General features: G+C 44.3%; 2 pseudogenes, besides 8 other annotated features; both read right to left on the bottom strand.

Annotated features, from left to right (window-relative positions):
• Positions 2,552-2,601: an enhancer, noted in NCBI's record as "active region_10074". NCBI's record gives its function as "activates an Ori minimal core promoter by ATAC-STARR-seq in GM12878 lymphoblastoid cells {active_cell/tissue: GM12878}" and the evidence as "EXISTENCE:reporter gene assay evidence [ECO:0000049][PMID:35858748]".
• Positions 4,760-5,520: an enhancer, noted in NCBI's record as "H3K27ac-H3K4me1 hESC enhancer chr15:90843890-90844650 (GRCh37/hg19 assembly coordinates)". NCBI's record gives its function as "activates a minimal SCP1, AML or CMV promoter by ChIP-STARR-seq in primed H9 embryonic stem cells {active_cell/tissue: H9 hESC(primed)}" and the evidence as "EXISTENCE:reporter gene assay evidence [ECO:0000049][PMID:30033119]".
• GOLGA2P8 (GOLGA2 pseudogene 8) lies at positions 5,203-12,678 on the bottom strand (annotated as a pseudogene).
• Positions 5,865-6,057: a silencer, noted in NCBI's record as "fragment chr15:90843353-90843545 (GRCh37/hg19 assembly coordinates)". NCBI's record gives its function as "represses an EF-1alpha promoter that drives an FKBP-Casp9 reporter gene in an ReSE screen in K562 erythroleukemia cells {active_cell/tissue: K562}" and the evidence as "EXISTENCE:reporter gene assay evidence [ECO:0000049][PMID:32094911]".
• Positions 11,961-12,461: an enhancer, noted in NCBI's record as "H3K4me1 hESC enhancer chr15:90836949-90837449 (GRCh37/hg19 assembly coordinates)". NCBI's record gives its function as "activates a minimal SCP1, AML or CMV promoter by ChIP-STARR-seq in naive H9 embryonic stem cells {active_cell/tissue: H9 hESC(naive)}" and the evidence as "EXISTENCE:reporter gene assay evidence [ECO:0000049][PMID:30033119]".
• On the bottom strand, positions 11,971-12,239 carry RN7SL736P (RNA, 7SL, cytoplasmic 736, pseudogene; annotated as a pseudogene).
• Positions 12,462-12,962: an enhancer, noted in NCBI's record as "H3K4me1 hESC enhancer chr15:90836448-90836948 (GRCh37/hg19 assembly coordinates)". NCBI's record gives its function as "activates a minimal SCP1, AML or CMV promoter by ChIP-STARR-seq in naive H9 embryonic stem cells {active_cell/tissue: H9 hESC(naive)}" and the evidence as "EXISTENCE:reporter gene assay evidence [ECO:0000049][PMID:30033119]".
• Positions 12,462-12,965: a biological region, named in NCBI's record as "H3K4me1 hESC enhancer GRCh37_chr15:90836448-90836948".
• Positions 12,806-12,965: an enhancer, noted in NCBI's record as "active region_10073". NCBI's record gives its function as "activates an Ori minimal core promoter by ATAC-STARR-seq in GM12878 lymphoblastoid cells {active_cell/tissue: GM12878}" and the evidence as "EXISTENCE:reporter gene assay evidence [ECO:0000049][PMID:35858748]".
• Positions 18,450-19,014: an enhancer, noted in NCBI's record as "NANOG-H3K27ac hESC enhancer chr15:90830396-90830960 (GRCh37/hg19 assembly coordinates)". NCBI's record gives its function as "activates a minimal SCP1, AML or CMV promoter by ChIP-STARR-seq in naive H9 embryonic stem cells {active_cell/tissue: H9 hESC(naive)}" and the evidence as "EXISTENCE:reporter gene assay evidence [ECO:0000049][PMID:30033119]".

Raw genomic sequence — 19,540 nt, 5'->3', positions numbered from 1 at the left:
CAGTTCATATGTGTAAAGTGCTTAGAAAGGTTACGTAACAGACTTAAGAGCATTTGCTGAGAAACAACCACCACAACAACACATCACAAGTGGGTAAGGATGAACAGAAAGTGCAAACGGCCTTAGAACAGAGATCATATTCCACCCTTTGTCCCTCTGATTGAGGAGAGGGGATTGCCTGCATCTGTATTTCTTCCCCTAGCATATCCATATATTCTAGAACTCTGGATATGTTCTTTGTGTAAGGTGAACTTAGTTCAGAAATATTTTCTCAGCTTTTACTCTCTTTTTACAGAGTAAGACTTGATCTCTTTTGTGAAGAGCTATTTCTGGCTAGCTTCAAACTACCATTTCAATTAGTGGCCATTGTTTATGCCCATGATGTATAAGCTGAACTGCCCCTGCATTCTTTATTATTTTTTTTGAGATGGAGTCTTGCTCTGTCGCCCAGGCTGAAGTGCAGTGGCACGATCTCGGCTCACTGCAGCCTCCGCCTCCTGGGTTCAAGAGATTCTCCTGCCTCAGCCTACCGAGTAGTTGGGATTATAGGCACCCGACACCAGGCCCAGCTAATTTTTTTTGTATTTTTAGTAGAGACGGGGCTTTGCGACGTTGGCCAGGCTGGTCTCAAACTCACGACCTCATGATCCACCAGCCTTGGCCTCCCAAAGTGCTGGGATTATAGGCGTGAGCCATCGCTCCTGGCCTGCCCCTGCATTCTATAATCCAGTCCCAAGGAAGGGGAGAAAAATGCCAGGAGAGCGTGGGGAAGAAAAAAGCAATCATCGCCCACCCACCAGAAAATCTCCCTGCTCTCATATTTACTCTTTAATGACAGAACTGGATTTATGTACACACTTAGCTAATGACATGTTTACATGTCTTGTCTCCTCTTGATCCTAAGGTAGTGTCTATTCCCTGCCTATGTCTTCTTGGTGCTCAGAACAGTGCTACATTTACCTATGGGTAGAAAATACAATTTGCTGACAAACTATAAACCAATAGAAATAGACCATGTATGAGACTAGTATTAAAGGTTTTAAAAATAGTCTGTTTTAAAAATACAGTCTGTCAAATTTATAAGCTTTAAATGACCAAAATTAAAGGAAAGAGTTAAAGAAAATGAGAGTGGTTTCTATTTTTTGAATCACATTTTCTGCTTTCATTGCCATATGCCTATAAAAGGAATTAGATATATAGTGGGTGTGAAGCACTTATGTAAGTTGTGTATATATATATATATGGTAGATTTATGTGTGTGAGGTATGTGTGTGTGTATTATGTGTGTGAATTAAGCTGTCAAGTCAGCACACACAAGGAGAAAATCATGTACAGAAGTGCTTCAGAAAATTGCGTATTATCACTTGAGGCTCCATACTTAGAAGCCCAAACACTAAGATTTAGCTTCTTTTGTTTCTATTTACATTCTCTCTGTCATCTCATTCTCTTTGGACCCCTGGAGGCTAGAGTCTAGTTTGAAAGGGAGGATACATGCAACAGGGTAAAAAATGTTTTCTTTACTTGTTTGTGCACTAAGATTTATGAAAATTAAATTCTTTAAAAATGCAACTTCACAGTGTGTGTGTATGTCTGTGGTGCGTGTGTATATATATACATTTGTTTGTTTGTTTGTTTGTTTTGTTTTGTTTTGGGATGAGTTTGGCTCTGTTGCCCAGGATGGGGTGCCTTGGTATGATCTCGGCTCATTGCAACCTCTGTCTCCGGGGTTCAAGTGATTCTCCCACCTCAGCCTCTGGAGTAGCTGGGATTACAGGGGCAAACCACCATGCCTGGCTAATTTTTGTATTTTTAGTAGAGGCGGGGTTTTGCCGTGTTGGCCAGGCTGGTCTCGAACTCCTGACCTCAAGTGATCTGTCTGCCTCAGCCCCTCAAAGTGCTGGGATTACAGCCGAGAGCCACCATGCCCGGCCCGTCTGTAGTATATTATAATCTATACACTTTGATTTTTATTATTTCACATAACTTTTACAACAAATCTGTAAAACACATTTTCCATTTACAGATCAGGAAACTAAGAGCATCAAAGTGATTTTCTCAGTGTAGGTGGTACTGGTAGGTTGGAACTGGGGAAGCAAGCTTACAGTTTGATGTTTACCCACTAGCACTACCTCCTTCGAAGCTGATCACAATCATAACAGTGAGAGAAGCTTTGAAACTCCCTTTTACAGCACTGGAAGGGACCTTAATTAAGACCTTTCTATTTACAGGGAAGGGAACTGAAGCCCAGAGATACCAAGAGTTGGCCCAGGTCACACCTTGGCGATTGTGGAAGGACTAAGAGAACAGGCCTGGCTCTGACACCCCGCCCTTTCTCCATCCCACCTCCTGCCGCCCCAGCCAGGAGGCCAGATCTCACAATGCAGTCAGAAAAATCCTTTGCTAAAAAATATTAAGACTAGAATGCTAAGAAGAAACATTAACAGTTCCATAGGAAAATGACAAAAAGCATGCAAAGGTAATTTATGAAGAAACAAATTTTTTTTTAAAGTTTGACTTATGTTGTCAAGTAAGAAATGCAAATTAAAAGAAAAACCATTTTGACTCAGTTGACAATGACTTTTTTTTTTTTTTAACCCATAGGTGTTGTTTCGAGAGGCAGGCCTTGCTGTATGACTGAAACACACTCTTGTAGCTGGTGGAAGTAAAACTATTACACTCTTTCAAGAAAGCAATTGGGCCGGGCATGGTGGCTCACGCCTGTAATCCCAGCACTTTGGGAGGCCGAGGCGGGTGGATCACGAGGTCAGGAGATCGAGACCATCCTGGCTAACACAGTGAAACCCCGTCTCTACTAAAAATACAAAAAATTAGCCGGGCGTGGTGGCGGGCACCTGTAGTCCCAGCTACTCGGGAGGCTGAGGCAGGAGAATGGCATGAACCGGGGAGGCGGAGCTTGCAGTGAGCCGAAATCACACCACTACACACCAGCCTGGGCGACAGAGCAAGACTCTGTCTCCCCAAAAAAAAAAAAAAAAAAAAAAAAGGAAAGCAATCGAGCATTGTGTATCTAGAACCTGAAAAATATTTAAGGCTTTTGATCTAACAATCTGAATCCTAGGGAAGCTTTCCAAAGATAATCAGGTATGTGACCAAAGAATATTACATGCAACATTATTTATAATGTTGAAAAATTGATCATCTCTTATGTCCCAAGTAGAATGGTTTAATAATGTAAACTGATGTGATGTGATGTGATATGATGTGAGCTGAGGTGAGGCAGCTTTAAAATCATAGCTTGGAATATTATTTGATAAACTGGGAAAAGGTTTGTGATATATTAAGTGAAAAGGAGATTCCAAAACGAAATAACCTGATTTTAAAATTAGTAGTAGTAGTGTATTGAGAAAAGGGTTGGAAGGGAATCAATTCAAGGCTATCATTTCTGGATAGTCAGTCTTGGAACATGCCCTGCTCTTAGTAAGGCATGCACTTTTATTTGTTGCTGGAATAAGCAAATGAATAAATTGTGGGGTTATGGATAAATCTTCTTCTCCATAGGTTTTGGAATTTCCCAAATTTTATACAATGAGAATGTATTTTTATCATAAAAACTAACCATTATGAAAAACATGTAGTATGTTGACACTCACTGAACAAGATAGAAAAAACCCTAGTAATTTTGTTCAATGTCCTTCAGTTTTACCATTTTCCAAAAGTTTAGAATACTGAAACCAACACTGGCTCATTTCCTTTTCATGGAGGGGGCTGGATGGATCCTTTAAAGAAGCCAAATCTTTTGTCATCTCTAGGCTTCAGGTCCCTCCTCCGGAAACAAAAGGAACTTAAGGTCCTTTCTGGCCTTAAAAAAGGGAGCTATAGATTCATTCCTGCTCAGTGGTCCTGGTTGATAGAATTCTTCCTTCATCAACAGCCTCTGCTAAAGAGCACCCTCAAAATTAAAGTCATGGTAAAAACTCTTGCCAGTTTTGCAGACATTTTTGTTTTGCTGCATGACTTTTGGACGAGAACTAGACTTGTGTCATTTCCATGTGAACAGACACGTGTTTTCCAGAGGGCAGACTGTGGTTAGGGCTGTGTCCCTGCGACCTTGTCTCTGCATAACCCAACGGGTCTGCATGAGAATAGGACTTTTCATCTCATTTTCACTGGTTTCATAATTAACCAAAGCACTTCGTATGTGCTAGAGGTCATGGTGGGAACGCTCAGGGTAAGGCTGTGGATGGTGCAGCTCAACCCATTTCTTATTTCTGAAGAACATTTTGAAGCATGCAGCCTATGGCTGGAAGGCAACTGAGTTCTATTCATAGAAAGGCAGCTCGATTTCTTTCCATGATATCCTTTCTTGAAAAAGTAAAAAACAAGCTGCTATGTGTCATCTCCAAGTATGGCAAATTGGTGCAGGAATTGTAAAAGAGCAGATTTCTTTACTGAGACCCATATCTGTTCCCCAACATCCCCCCTCCAAAGTGCGCCACCTCCAGTGGGCCTCCCTGTCATGCCCGGCCTGTGGACAGCCAGCCCCACCATCCCTCCCACCCCCTGCCAAGAATGGGGGGTGCCGTGTGGCCTGACAGTCTCTACCAGTCCTGCTCTCCCTTGGCTGACAAGCAAACCCATTTCTGGATGACGCGGAATGTGTCCTCTGCTCTCTGTGTTGTCTTTGGAGCTCAGGGGAGGGGTAAGGCCAAGCCATTACTAGGGTACTGGGAGCGGTGAAAAGGCCACATCCTTTCCAAGGAACACTTTTCCTGGAAAGCCCCTGGAGCTTAGCTGGCTCTCATCCTGTGAAGCCTGCTCTGGCCACTAGGGGGCAGGGCCATGAACTCAGCCCGGAAGGAGCCTGAGGGGCAGCCGGCACTCTGGAGGGACAGACATGTCGAACAGGCCACCAGGTGCAGACAGGCGAGGGAGGCAGTGGGGCGGAAAGGAAGATGCCTGGGGTGCATGGAAGTCAGTGCCCGTGGGTGCTGGCATCCTGCCTTCCCGGCCACCGCTAGATCAGGCTTCTGAGCCTGTTGGCCGTCAGGGCCGGACTGTGCCCCGTAGGCGCCATGGCAGTCCCTGTGGACTCCCCCACGCGTCACCAGGCAGCATACAGGTAACAGGTCTGGAAGGTCCCCAACAGACCAGCTGGACATGCTCGGACACTCTGGGGCTCCTCGTTCAGTGGCACAAACTCCAGGACCCAGTGGGGGAAGCAGGAACACACCAGGCTAGCAGTATGGCTAAATCCATTTATTCCAAAATAAAAAGCAAAATAAACAGGAGTTGCATCGCCAGGAAGTCACGACCCCATCCCCGCCTCCTTCCTCTGTCCTATGCTATCAAATAAATTCCCCAGCTGCAAATAATTATTAGAACCTCCCCGCCATGTGCCAGCTCCAATCTCCACTAGGTACTATACAGGGGCGGCCCTACCCCCCAGAATATATAAAACGTTACACAGACACAATGTGTACATGGGGGAAGGGGGGCCACCCTCAGCAGCTCATGCCCTTGCCTGGTCTACAGTTAGCCCCACTGTCCCGCCTCAGCTGCCTCTCTGACTAAGAAGACGGGAGCCTGAGGGAAAAATTGCTTTGGTGAAAGTAAGGAGGCCATGAGGCCTCCTCCGAACAAACCAACTCCCATCAGCCTCTGCCTCTTAAATAACAATCATCATCATCCAGAAATTTAAGGACTCAGCCCTGGCCAGGGTGGCAAAGGGTCTGTTTGTCTCTCCCTATTAGACAGGGGTCTTGTCTTGCTACTCTAATGGTAAAGGGGTGACTGGGAAGGGGTGGCAGGGACATGGTGGGGGTGGAGCCTCTGGCCCCACTTCTCCAGGCTTTGCTGACAGGGGCCTGCTTTTGTTTTTATTTTTATCCCATGACTTTTTTTAATCACGTTTTTTCTGTAACTTTTTTTTTTTTTTTTTTTTTGAGATGGAGTCTTGCTCTGTTGCCCAGGCTGGAGTACAGTGGTGCCATCTGGGCTCACTGCAACCTCTGCCTTTCGGGTTCAAGCAATTCTCCTGCCTCAGCCTCCCGAATAGCTGGGATTACAGGCGCCCGCCACCACACCTGGCTAATTTTTTGTATTTTTAGTAGAGACAGGGTTTCACCATGTTGGCCAGGCTGGTCTTGAACTCCTGACCTCAGGTGATCTGCCCGCCTCAGCCTCCCAAAGTACTGGGATCCCAAAGTGGGTGGATCACCTGAGATAGGGAGTTTGAGACCAGCCTGACCAACATGGAGAAACCCATCTCTACTAAAAATACAAAATTAGCCAGGCGTGGTGGTGAATGCCTGTAATCCCAGCTACTTAGGAGGCTGAGGCAGGAGAATCTCTTGAACCTGGGAGGTGGAGGTTCCGGTGAGCTGAGATTGTGCCATTGCACTCCGGCCTGGGCAACAAGAACAAAACTCCGTCTCAAAAAAATAAAAATAAAAAAGTTTTGGAAATAAGTTGTGGGAAAAAAGTTATGGAAAAAGTTATGGAAAAATATTCCAAAAAAAGTTTTACGAAAAAAAGTTATGTGATAAATATTAAATAAATAAAAGCAGGCCACTTTCAGCAAAGCCTGGAGAAGTGTCTGATGGGGGAGACAGGTGAAGATGAGATGAAGATCGCGGTCATCCAAAAGCAGGGAACTAGGCCCAGGGCGGTAGCTCACACCTGTAAGCCCAGTGAGCCACTGACCATAACATTTTTTATCCCGTAACTTTTTTATCCCATAACGTAACTTTATCCCATAACTTTTTAATCTCATAACTTTTTAAATCTCATAACTTTTTTTAATCTCCTAACTTTTTAAAATCCCATAACTATTTTTTCAGTATGTGTTCTTTTGGTAAACACTTGCAGCCGGGCGCGGTGGCTCACGCCTGTAATCCCAGCACTTTGGGAGGCTGAGGTGGGCAGATCACGAGGTCAGGAGTTTGAGACCAGCCTGGCCAACATAGTGAAACCCCCATCTCTACTAAAAATACAAAAATTAGCTGGGCATGGTGGCGTGCACCTGTAGTCCCAGCTACTCGGGAGGCTGAGGCAGGAGAACTGCTTGAAACCAGGAGGTGGAGGTTGCAGTGAGCCGAGATCGTGCCACTGCACTCTGGCCTGGGCAACAGAGTGAAATTCCATCTCAAAATAAATAAATTAATTAATTAGTTAAATGCTTGCATAGTCATATTACAATTTTGTAAAAATAAAAACACTATTTCATGCCAAGCATGCCTGGCATTTGCACAATCTCAATACCTTTAATACTATAGTTTTCAAGACACACAAAATAAAAATTTAAGGCAAAAACAGCACTTTGCAACAATAATTTATTACATACAGTAGCATCACAGCAGTATTCAATAATGCCACTTTAGGCAAAAGTCTTTCAGTATTTCCATTATAGATTCTGTTTACAAGAATTCCTAAATTGGTAAGTCATTATAAGAAAACTTGGCAAATAAAGTTTTGGACTGGAATTGGCATTTCTTTCTTTACTTTTCCTTCCCCTAGTTTCTTTCTTTTAAGCTACAGTATTCATATTTTAAAATGTTTTAATTTATTTCAAAACATTAAAATAGCAGTTACATTTTTTAATAGTTATACTATTGTAAAATGACTAAGAAAGTTTTAGAGAAACTATATTCTGGATAAGGCTGATTTACATTTTCAAATTTTCTAGAAATCAGCTTTGGTTTTAACATTAGTTTTTCAGTTCTGGAAAACCTATTAGTATTAATCAAATACTTCAAAATGATTATCATATACTGCAACCTTTAAATAAACAAGTATTTTGATTCTTTACCTCCTACAGAAATTCAAATTTATTCGGTTGAACTCACATTTTAAAATTCTATGTTTCCATGAACTCTAACCTTCTAATGTTGCCTGCTAAGCAAATTGAAAGCTGTCTTATACTGAATGAGAAAGAGAACAAATATCTGGCTGAATGAGGTATTGCAAAAGACTGCATGCCCTTTGAAGAAAGACTTAAGTTATTATAATATGATTTCCATCCTTGTTAGCTTTTTCTTAAATATATGACAAAAATACCTACACAAAAAGTAGTATCTCAGTTAATATAGTAAATTTATTTCCAGACAGACATTCAGCTTAAGTATGCCGGTATGTGAGTTAATCCAGAGGTACCTGATGAACACATTATTGTCAGATTGATTACAGATGCTAAACGCTATCCGAAGGTCATTCCTAGTCATTTACATTTATCAATGTAAAAGTGAAGTGATTTGAACTATTAAAATACCTTTGAAATAATTTATCAATGTATCAGATAAACCCAGTTTCAGAATGATAAAGAAAAACTGTTAGACCAAATAATGTGGCTAATTGACAGTGGTACGATTTCTAGCCCGAGGGTTTAAAATGGACTTAAAGTAACTGTCTTTAAACTGAACTCAAAGAATGCAAAAGCAGCAAGTTCAGAAAATAAAAGGCAACAACAGGACCTTAAGTCCATTTTAAACCCTCGGGCTAGAAATCGTACCACTGTTAATTAGCCACATTATTTGGTCTAACAGTTTATCATTCTGAAACTAGGTTTATCTAATACATTAATAAATTCATACAATTTGGAAGAGTCAGTTGAAGTCACAAGGACCCAATATTTGCATTTTTTTCCGTGAATCCAGGCAAATCAGTTATTTTGTCTGAAAAATAATACTGCTTTCCTATTAATGTCATATTTATAAAAGTATCATGAGGATGCCAAATGGAGACGGTCTAGTAACTACAAATCCCCACACCAGGGAGCGCACATACATCTCTCCCTACATCCTAATAATGTGATGTATTTTGGAATACAGACATTAGAACTTCATGAGGTTTTAACTGTTGATTCTTTCCCAAGCATCATCAAGTTATGATTTAGGCAACATATGACTGAAATAATTCATTCATAATATATAGGCGCATTCACATAAATATTGCACAAAATATGCCTCTAACTGAAACTGAAAGGTACAAAAACATATTTCACTCTTCGTAAAGAACTTTCGGAGGAAGTAGGACTCTGTGATTGTACAGACACTTTTCCTGATAAGACTTTGACATTCACAAACAGTAGATTGCACTGCAGTTTGTAAACATTTTAAGTCGCATAAACTTCTCCTTGATTTTCAAATATAGAATAATACTGTCTACTAAAACTCCTTTTTCTTTCAACCAAGTACTCTCACATATATTCATTTATAATATTATTTTTAAAGTGTTCTCCATTCAAGGAAAAGAAGTAATTTCCTATGTCAAAGTAGCCAATGTGGTTGAAGAATAGGTATGAGCCAGAGAGGTCTAGATGGTAAAATTAATCTTCTAGCCTCAGAGAAGCTCCGTGAACAGAGAGGAATGCCAGGTGTCACATAGCTTTCCTTCACTCGAATTCATTCCTGACTAGAGCCTGTATGCCTGTTTCAGGGACATCTAAACTCTTAAAGGATTTCTTATGATCTTTACTAAATACATTAAGAAGAATGCCAACCAGTGCCCTTTTGTGTACTGGGACATGTAGTCACGTGATTAAAACAGGGACCATGAACTCTGACTTTAAAATGTGTTATAGATATAAATGCTCTAAGCTAGGAAAGGTTTTCCACATCCACAATCAACGATGGGAGCCTTTCATTCCTCAGAAATAAGCCCTTTTTAGGTCATCAAAAAAGAGTACAACTGCCACAGCTCATGATGCAATATCTTCATAAGCCCAGAACACATACAAATCCTAAGGGAACTACCATAGTACAGTGCTCATTCTTGGCACCAAAACAAATAAAACACACTCTATCCTGCACATACCTGCCAGAGCAGGCCACTTTCCTCTTCTGGGAGATTTAAAAAGCTCCCCAAAATGTTATTACTCCCATCCCCAATACACAGAAAAAGGGGGAAAGGCTGTTTCCAGTGCTCCGCCTTTAAGCAACTGTAAATGTCAGTACTCACAGTGGCATATTACAAAGTAATAGACCGCGCACTTCAGGGCAAACCACATATTGAGCTGATGAAGAGCTCACTGTGATTAGGATTCGATCAAACATAATAGCAGAACATAAGCAAATTTTATCTGAATTCCATAATAAATATACATGCTGCAATAACATTAAAAAAGCATGGCAGCCTATCCCAAACCAGGAAGAATAGTTTTGTGCAAATAGTGGGTCTTTGTGTGTTTGAACACCCACCACATAAGGGCAAACTTGATATGCATGCTAATGACCTACAATTATCAAATTAAAAAAGAAACATGCTAAAGGATGCCAGAGTGAACATGAGGAAAAGACCCACTCTCCTTTAACTTTTTACAAATAAAATTTAAACTATAAATTAGAAACACAAATAAACATGAGTGGCTCTAACATTCAAATGAAGTAAATGAATTGTGTAGGAGATTAACCCCTTAACTTTTTTTTTTTTTTAATTTCTTGACCAGCTCTTAGATGATGGTGGTGTTTATCTCCCTGTTCTCGGCAGCTCGAAAAGAAAGGCATGCAGAGATTGCTGCCCAAGCCTGGGTGCTCCTGGGGAGTCCTGCGTTACAGGAAGCAGCTGCATGATCTGCTGTGCAGTGGGGTTGTCGTGGGGAGAACCCTCCCTGGCCTCTCCTGGTGCGGGCTCCACGCTGTCAGTGAGGCTCACCTCACAAAGATCTTCGGAGAGAGGGAGGAGGGGATCGGAGCGCCATGCGAGCCTCCCCTGCTCCTGCCTGCTCACCCTGCCTGAAGGTTCTACTGGCCATCCTGCTTGTCAGCACACACAAGCTCTTGGGGGGCTGGGGCTCCTAGAGTGGGCTCATCAGCAGGGTTCTGGGCAGTGGCCAGGAACTTGCCATGTCCCTCATTGTGGTCTCTCACAAGCCGCAACACCTGCCCCTGCATCTCCAGCAGGTTCACCTGGAGGGAGGGGTGCTCAGCTGCCATACTGGTGCCGGCACCCACGTTCACCCCCACCCCCGCCCCCACAGAGATGTTGCACACCCTACCTTCATCTCCTCCCGGTCCTGGGCCAGCCTGACGATCTCCTCCTCCTCCCGGTGCCGCATCTTTGGCACTGTCCCCTGGCTCCCATATGGGGTGATGTACTTTCCTGCGGGAGGACATGGCTCAGATGCTGGAGCCCCTCCGACGGCCCTGCAGCTCCCCCTGCCGTGCCCTGGCCTCCCGCTCACTCATGGTGTCTGTCTTTCCCGAGAGGTGGATGAATTGAAGCTTTAGTTTCTCCACCCACTCCCTCAGGTCCACCTTCTCCTTCAGGAGGTCCATAAAGTCGCTCTGGAGCCAAAATAATGGGATCACGTCTCAGGAGCCACCTGCCTTGCCCCACCCCCACCCTTCTTGGCCTATGCCAGGACCTACTCATCTACAACTTCTCCTTGGCCCCCTGCAGGGCCCGGTGGGTCCCCCCACACACAGACTCACCCCCAGTCCCTGGGGCTGGGGCTGCTGCTTCTGGCTTCTTCTGGGACGAGGCCACTGGGTGAGCCAGGGGCTGGCAGCACATCCTTTGCTCCTCCTGGGCACTGGTTCCAGCGGAGTTGAAAAATGCCACCTGAAGGCAAGAGGTGAGTGTTCTTGTAGGGGCATACACAGAACAACTGGGGCAGGGAGGTGGAGCGCAGCCCCTTCCCTTGGGGCCTCAGAGAGTGCACCTGTTGGTCACAGGTGAAATGGTGTCTGATCACTGGCTCCCGGAAGGAGTGAAAGTCCACAGAAATCAGAAAGCGGGGAAACCAAGAACATAAGGGGGTCTGGGAGGGACCACAGAGGAAGGTGGCAAAGTGGGGGCAGGGCAAGTCAGGCTCACCACCGTCTCCCGGCTCTCCAGGTCCCCTGGGATGTTCGGCATGGGCTGAGGCGCCTCCTCCTCCATCTCCTGTGGGGGGGTGGCCAGAGGGGTCCTCAGACAACCCAACAAGGGAGGTACTGTGGGCTCACCTCTGCCCCCACACTCACTGTGTAACCTTGAGCCAGCCCCTCCCCAGAGGGGAATGAGCTGTTCTTTATTTTTACTTTTAAGAACCAAGATCTTGCTATATTGCCCAGGCACAGTCCCACTACCGATTGGTGCAGGAATTCTGACCTGCTCCATTTCTGACCTGGGCCAGTTCTCCCATCCTTAGGCAACCTGGTGGTCCCCCGCTCCCAGGAGGTCACCATATTGATGCCAAACTTAGTGCAGACACCCAGTCAGCATAATGGCCAGCTGTCTTAAAGGTCTCTTCCATCTCCTCAATCCTACAGTGCTAACAGTCCCCCTTTCCTCCTGGGGCTCTCTCCTCTTCCTCTGAGTGGTGTCCCGTACCTTCCCCAGGGAGAGCCATGAGGCTCAACTGGGCCTGTAGTTGCTGGTTCTGCTGGCTGGTAGCTTCCAGGTGCTCCTGAGATGCCAGGAAAGAGGGTGAGAAGGCACAGAGGTTGCCAGGTTGTCCCTCTTGGGGCCCCGTCCTCAGCAACTCCCTCCCCTGGGTCTCCTGCAACTTTTGGCGGGCCATCTTAGCCACTGCTTTGCCCTGAGCTTCCTGCTGCTGCAGCTGGTCCAATGAGCCGGGTCTGCAGCAGTAACTGCCTGTGCAGCGCCTCCTTCTCAGAGGTCAGCTGCTGATAGGCTGCCACCTGCTGCTGATAAGTGGCCACGTACTGCTTCAGGTGACCCAGGTACTGGCCTCGCTGCTGCTGCAGACTCTGAGCCTCTTGGCTCTTCAGCTCCACCTGCTGGAAGTCCCTGGGCATGAGGGCAGCTGGTGGCTGGCTTCCAGATTCCTGGCCCATTAATAGGGTAGTGAGGGCACTGTGGGGCTCTGTGGCCTGCCCAGGCCCCTGGCCCCTTGCTCCAGGCCTAAGAGACTGCCTCCCTTGCCTAGAACCCCATGCCTCCTTCCCCAGCCTCAAATCTCACGTTCTTCTTCCAGCCATTTAAACTGTAGGCCACAGACTGGTGGAAAAGCAGAGGGAGCCAACCACCATCTGCTAAGTGTGCTACATGCCTAATGTTTCCACGTATTATCTCATTTAACCCTCGGCACCTCTGCGAAGAAAAAGCTCACTTCCTTTTGAAGTTAAAGAAACAGAGACTTAGAGATGGAAAGTAGTTGAATGATGACCAGTGGAACCGAGGCCGGAATCCAGTTTGAATCTAAGGAGTCGTTTTGGTTTTTTTCATATTTTGTTTTGGGACAGTGTCACTCTGTGTCCCAGGCTGGAGTGCAGTGGTGCGATCTCAGCTCACTGCAACCTCCACCTCCTGGGCTCAAGTGATTCTCATGTCTCAGCCTCCTGAGTAGCTGGGATTACAGGCATGCACCACCATGCCCGGCTAATTTTTTTTTTTTTTTTTTTTTGTAATTTTGTAGAGATAAGGTTTTGCCATTTTGGCCAGGCTGGTCTCAAACTCCTGATCTCAAGTGATTCTCCTGCCTCAGCCTCCCAAAATGCTGGGATTACAAGTGTGAGCCACTGCACCTGGTATAAGGAGCCTCTTATGCCACTGTCTCTTCCTCTGTGATTGGAGGGCTCCATGCCTCTAGCTGGGATGATGATGTCCAGACCTGGGAGGAGCCAGGGCTACCCACCTCTAAAAGTCAGAGGGCAGGAAGCAAGAAACAGTCATAGGACTGCCCTGGAGGGTGCTGGGGTCACCTGCCCCCAGGCTGCAGCTGCCTCTGGCCTGGCACCTCCCCTCCCCAGAGGCTGGTGCCCGCCTCCCAGACCTTCTTGGACGGGTCGGAGGTTACCGTCCCCTTCAGCTAGCCCAGCTTCTCCTGCAGCTCCTTTACTTGCTGCTCCAACTGCAGTGCGCTCTTGTTCTCGTTCTGGACAGAGAGAAGCAATCAGCAGCCACCCGCTGCAACTGGAGACCCCAGAACTTGGTGTCTGCCTCCCATAGCACTGGGAAGGGTGGAGGGAGGTTAGAAAAATCATCCCCTCTCTCCCACAGCCATCAGAGCAGGGCTCCGGCTCACAGGTGCCTTAGAAGTACCATTTCATGTGAGGGCTACACTGCCCCATTTTACAGGTGGGGAAACAAAGGCCTGGCGGGCTAGGGAGGAGGGCTGGGGTTGGGGGGCCCAGTCCAGTGTGCCTCAGGGGTGGTATGGACTCCGGCAACGGTCTTGTTGTCGGAGGGGATCTGTGGCTGGGTTGGGGGCCATGACCTGGTGCGTTTTACCTTTTTCCTGGCTGCGGCCCATTTGCCCTGTCGTGTTTTTTCTGACATCATGGGGTGTGGAGGGAGGCGGGGTTGGGCCACATCAGTGAAATCCCAGTGAGCACTGATGAATGCCTCCAGTCACCTACCAGGCAGCTGTGCAACTGAGCCAGAAGAGGCATAACCGGGGCCCCACTAGAATGCAGAATAGGGGCGTGGCCTTAATGCTCCAAGCCCATTGGTCAATGAGAAATATGAAAGGGAAAGGAGGCGTGGCCAGGTAGCACCGTGTCCAGAAGGACCTGTGGTTCACAAGGAAAGCTGCCCATGCAACCGCTGTACCCGACCACTCAGAGAGAGGGAGGGGCCGCCCACTCAGAGGGGAGGGGCCGGCTTTTGCTTTAAAACCTTTAAAACTGTAAAAAATAAACTTTAAAAAATGTATGTGTGTATTCTTTATATATATGTGTGTCTGTGTGTGTGTATCTACGTGTTCCTCCAGAGCTGTCTCCATTATCCAGCTTCTATGCAAGGTCTATAATTTTGGCCTATATTTTTCATCTTCAAATGGAGTACAATAATTACCAGTATTACCTTAACTGAGATACAGATCCTATAAAAATGGAAAATCCATAGCATGCTTGATGATTAATGAAGCAGGCTATAGTATCCAACATTCCAATAAGATAAAATAATCACAATGATTTCTCTTTTTTTGGAAAAACGTTTCTTTTATTCTCCTACATTATTAAGATTTTTTTTTTAAAACAAGAAACATGTCAAATATCTTGAAAAACACAAAGCTTTTGGGCTGGGTGCGGTGGCTTACGCCTGTAATCCCAGCACTTCGGGAGGCCAAGGCAGGTGGATCACCTGAGGTCAGGAGTTCGAGAACAGCCTGGCCAACATGAAGAAACCCCGTCTCTACTAAAAATACAAAAGCTAGCCAGGCATGGTGGTGGGTGCCTGTAATCCCAGCCATTTGGGAGGCTGAGGCGGGAGAATCACTTGAACCCAGGAGACGGAGGTTGCAGTGAGCCAAGCTCACGCCACTGCATTCCAGCCTGGGTGACAGAGCAAGACTCCATCTCAAAAGAAATAAAATAAAATACAAAATAAGAATAGAAAGCTTTCAATTTAATAAGCACTTAAAGCTCTTTACTGGTTTAAAACAAATACAAGGCCCATTTTTCTAGAATCACCTGGCTTCTCTAAGCCTTGCAAATGAAACTGAATTTCTCACTTGATGCTTAGCTATGACTTGCAATCATGAAAACCAAGAATTGTGTTATGTCACTGTGTACTGCTTGTTACCTGAATTCCACACTAGGCTGGGATCAAGGGTTGAATGTTTCATGATTTTCTCCATAACCTGTGTGCTTCTTATCCCAGACCAAACTAAGCTTTTTTCTAGAGTTCTACAATTTACAGTTAATAGACAAGAGTGGTTCTCAGTAATGTAGTCTCTGGACTAGCAGCACCAGCAGCACCTGAGAACTTTTTATAAGTGCAAATTATCAGGCCCCACCCTGGACCTGGTGCATCAGAAACTCTGGCTTAGGGCTCAGCAATCTGTGCTGCAGTCATCCCTCAGGGTGTTCAAGAACCTCTGGCATACAGCAGGTAGAAAAATGTGTTTCCTTCTCTAGGTCCAAAGCCAGGGATACTATATGTTCTGTCTTGATATGAAACAATGACATGCAATTAAGACACATGAATCTCCTTTCTACTCCCACCCTCCATCCAATGTGTTTTATTTTTATGAGTTCAATAAGAAAATAAGTGGCAATCAGAGATTTAGTCTAAAATGTATATTTACAAGTGTCAGTTCTCATCCAGCCTGATCTCATACAAAACCATTTACATCCTCTTATATCTCAAGTTTTAAAAAAGTATCTTTACAATGTAACTCTCAGGCACACTAGGAGTTCTATAATAAAACACCAAGTAGATCAGAATGTCCAACCTTACTAGAGAAGAAAAGTGGAATCATTGGCTATATTTTCAAATTGCATTCAACAGGAAATTTAAGTTTTGATTTTTTTTCACTGTCATACTTCCAAGTTAATAGAATTAAACCAGAATATGCCATTCTTTCAAATCCTCCAGCCAGGCAAAATTTTACTGTATTACTTCTTGCTTTCAATGAATATAAAGCAGACTCCTGATAGGCACATTTTGTATACCTGCAAAGATGCAGAACTGAACAGTTCCATCTGTTCAATATTAAAACAAAAGTCCTGTAAACCTCGGATGGTGAGTGTAATACTTCAGCACTAGCACCAAAGCCTCAAATATGAAAGGATACCAAGAACACCACTAGCAAACAAAAGTGAGCTCTTGGCTGGGAGCACTAGTTCATGCCGTAATCCCAGCACATTGGCAAGCCAAGGTGGGAGGATTACTTGAAGTCAGGAGTTCAAGACCAGCCTGGGCAGCATAGCGAATTCACAACTCTACAAAAAATTTTAAAAATTAGCTGGGTGTGGTGGCACACACCTGTAGTCCTATCTACTTGGGAGGCTGATGTAGGAAAATCGCTTGAGCCCAGGAGTTCGAGGCTGCGGTAGCTATGATCATGCCACTGTACTCCAGCCTGGGTGACAGGGCAAGACTTAGACAATTAAAGTCTGTCCTGTTCCTGTTTACATTAAAATCACTAAGTTAAAATGCTTTCAATCAGCAGGATAAAAATTAAGTGAAATATGACTTTGGAGTTTGGCCAGAAAATAGACAATGGAGAAACAGACACTTCCCACAGGAATAAAAATGGCCAATAAGCATGTAAAAAAGATTCAAAAGCACTAGAAGCTAAAGAAATGTAATGAAAACAATGAGATTTTCTGCTTAAAGACTAGCAAAGAGGACAAATGGAAGGGGGAAACTGGAGCTCTGTCTCTGTTGGTGGGAGTATAAACTGAACCAATTTTCCTGCAGTATAATTTGAAAATTTTTATTAAAAACACTAGAACTGTTTTATGTTATTGTCCTCCAGAAATTCTACTTCTATAAATTCAGTCCAAAAATGCTTGCTCGAGTCCATTAAAATGTATATATAAGAAAATTTACTTCTAGGGTGACAATGATTAACTTAATATACATCCAACTATTAAAAATGATGATGCCAAGGATATATTTACTGCCATAGAAATTTACTGCCCAAAACATAGTGACAAAAGACTATATGTTATGATTCTACTTTTAAAAATGTTTATATGCATAAAAAAGTATAAAAAGCAACAAATCAGAATGTTTTGAGTGGCAAAATTAGACTTTTCTTCATATTTTGTCTTCCAAATTATTACAAAACAATGTGACTTTCTTTTTTTTTTTTTTTTTTTGAGACAGAGTCTCGGTCTGTCACCCAGGCTGGGGTGCAGTGGCGCGATCTCAGCTCACTGCAACCTCCACCTCCTGGATTCAAGCAATTCTCCTGCCTCAGCCTCCTGAGTAGCTAGGATTATAGGCATGCACCACCACGCCCGGCTAATTTTCGTATTTTTAGTAGAGACGGGGTTTCACTATAATGGACAGGCTGGTCTCGAACTCCTGACCTCATGATCCACCCACTTCGACCTTCCAAAGTGCTGGGATTACAGGCATGAGCCACCATGCCCGGCCTCTAAGAATGTGATTTTCTTTATGATCAGGGAGAAGTATTATTTTCATTTATTTATATTTAAATTTTTTTATTTTCCCTATTTTTTCTCATGTATGTATCACATGCAGTCTAGAGAGCCGGAATCCCTGCCTCTTGAGGTAAATCAGCCCATTTCTGTCTCTATAAATTTGTCTTTTCTGGACATTTCAAATCAACGGAATTATACAATATGTGGTCTCGTGTCTGGCTTTTTTACTTAGCTAATGTTTTTGAGGTTGATCCATGACACGACATGTTTTGGTAGTTTGTTCCTTTCATTACTGAGTAGAAGACCATTGATGGAAATAGCACATTTTGTCAGCAGAGAGCCTTTGAAACTTGGATTCCAACTTCCTGTGGCCTAAATGAAACCCTCAGAACACAGGACTTACAGGCGAAGCTGCCGTATATGTCAAAGTAACTACTTATCAGAACTAGCTTTGTCATCAGGAGCCTGAATTTTCATCATTTTGCAACTTAACTTTTTTTTTTTTTTTTTGATACGGAGTTTCGCTATTTTTGCCCAGGCTGGAGTGCAATGGCGCTATCTCGGCTCACTGCAACCTCTGCCTCCCAGGTTCAAGTGATTCTCCTGCCTCAGCCTCCCGAGTAGCTGGGATTACAGGCATGTGCCACCATGCCTGGCTAATTTTGTATTTTTTAAGTAGATACAGGGTTTCTCCAGGTTGGCCAGGCTGGTCTCAAACTCCCGACCTCATGTGATCCACCCACCTTGGCCTCCCAAAGTGCTGGGATTACAGGCATGAGACACTGCGCCCGGCCTGCAACTTATTTTTTACAAGCAACTTTTGTGCTACATGTCAGGACTTTGGAAGCATCTGATACATTAATTTAATAAGTATGAGCATGTGGCTGAGTGGACAAGAAAGTGAAACCATCCATGCTACATTGCATATTTTTTCCTCTCCCAGACTGGACCAGGGAATCTCCCAACTTTCTAGAGTATCCTGTCTTCATTTACAAAGCTGAACAGTATTAAAGATCCTGCTGCCTTTGTTAGGCAGATTTGGAGGGGAGGCCCAACAGCAGTGGTGGAGAGGAAAAAGAGAGTGGAGCCTGTGGAACAGGAAGCCCCCCTCCCCGCCCCCCGACACCGGGGTCCGCACAGGGCTCCCAGCTGTTGAGGATGTTGTGGATGGGGAAGTGCTGATAGTGTCACCAGGCAAGCCTAGCACCTCCAATGGGCCCAGAAGGTCTTGACTTTGGACCCTTACCCTTGTTTCACAAGTGTTTAAAAGCTGTTTTTGCTTTTGTTATTTTCCCGAATACTCATTACTTAGTAGGTAGTTATTAATCTTTCTTTGGGAGAGGGACAGGGCTTTAAAACTGAAGAACATAATTTTCATAAAAATATCAAAAATAGAAAAAAAGTTACTTTAGAAACAATTTGCTATATAAACCAAATGGCAGCTGTTGAGAATCTCAATAAAATGTTAAATGCATTTGCTGCTTTTAGAAGAAATAAAGAAAAAAAAATTAGATGAAATAAAGAAAAAAATGCATTTGCTGTCAGTGGTACCCTTTTGCCTAAGGGTGGCACTGTGTCATCATACTGTGGTGGGGGGTGTGTGTGCTGTATATGTGTGAAACTTTTCATCTCAGGATAGATCATAGTCTTAGTTGCAGTTTTCCTTCCAAATAGGGTTACAAAGTAGTAAAACATGGACTTGGAAGTGACAGACCTGAGGGAATCAGTGCAGCTTAAAAAAAAATCCAATAAAACTAACTTTTAATAATCCTTAGATTGGTTTTTGAAACAATAGATAT

This window comes from Homo sapiens, chromosome 15 (assembly GCF_000001405.40).
Source record: "Homo sapiens chromosome 15, GRCh38.p14 Primary Assembly".
Classification (NCBI taxonomy): domain Eukaryota; kingdom Metazoa; phylum Chordata; class Mammalia; order Primates; family Hominidae; genus Homo; species Homo sapiens.
Note: the sequence above shows the minus strand (reverse complement) of the source record. Positions and strands in the feature narration are given on the sequence as shown.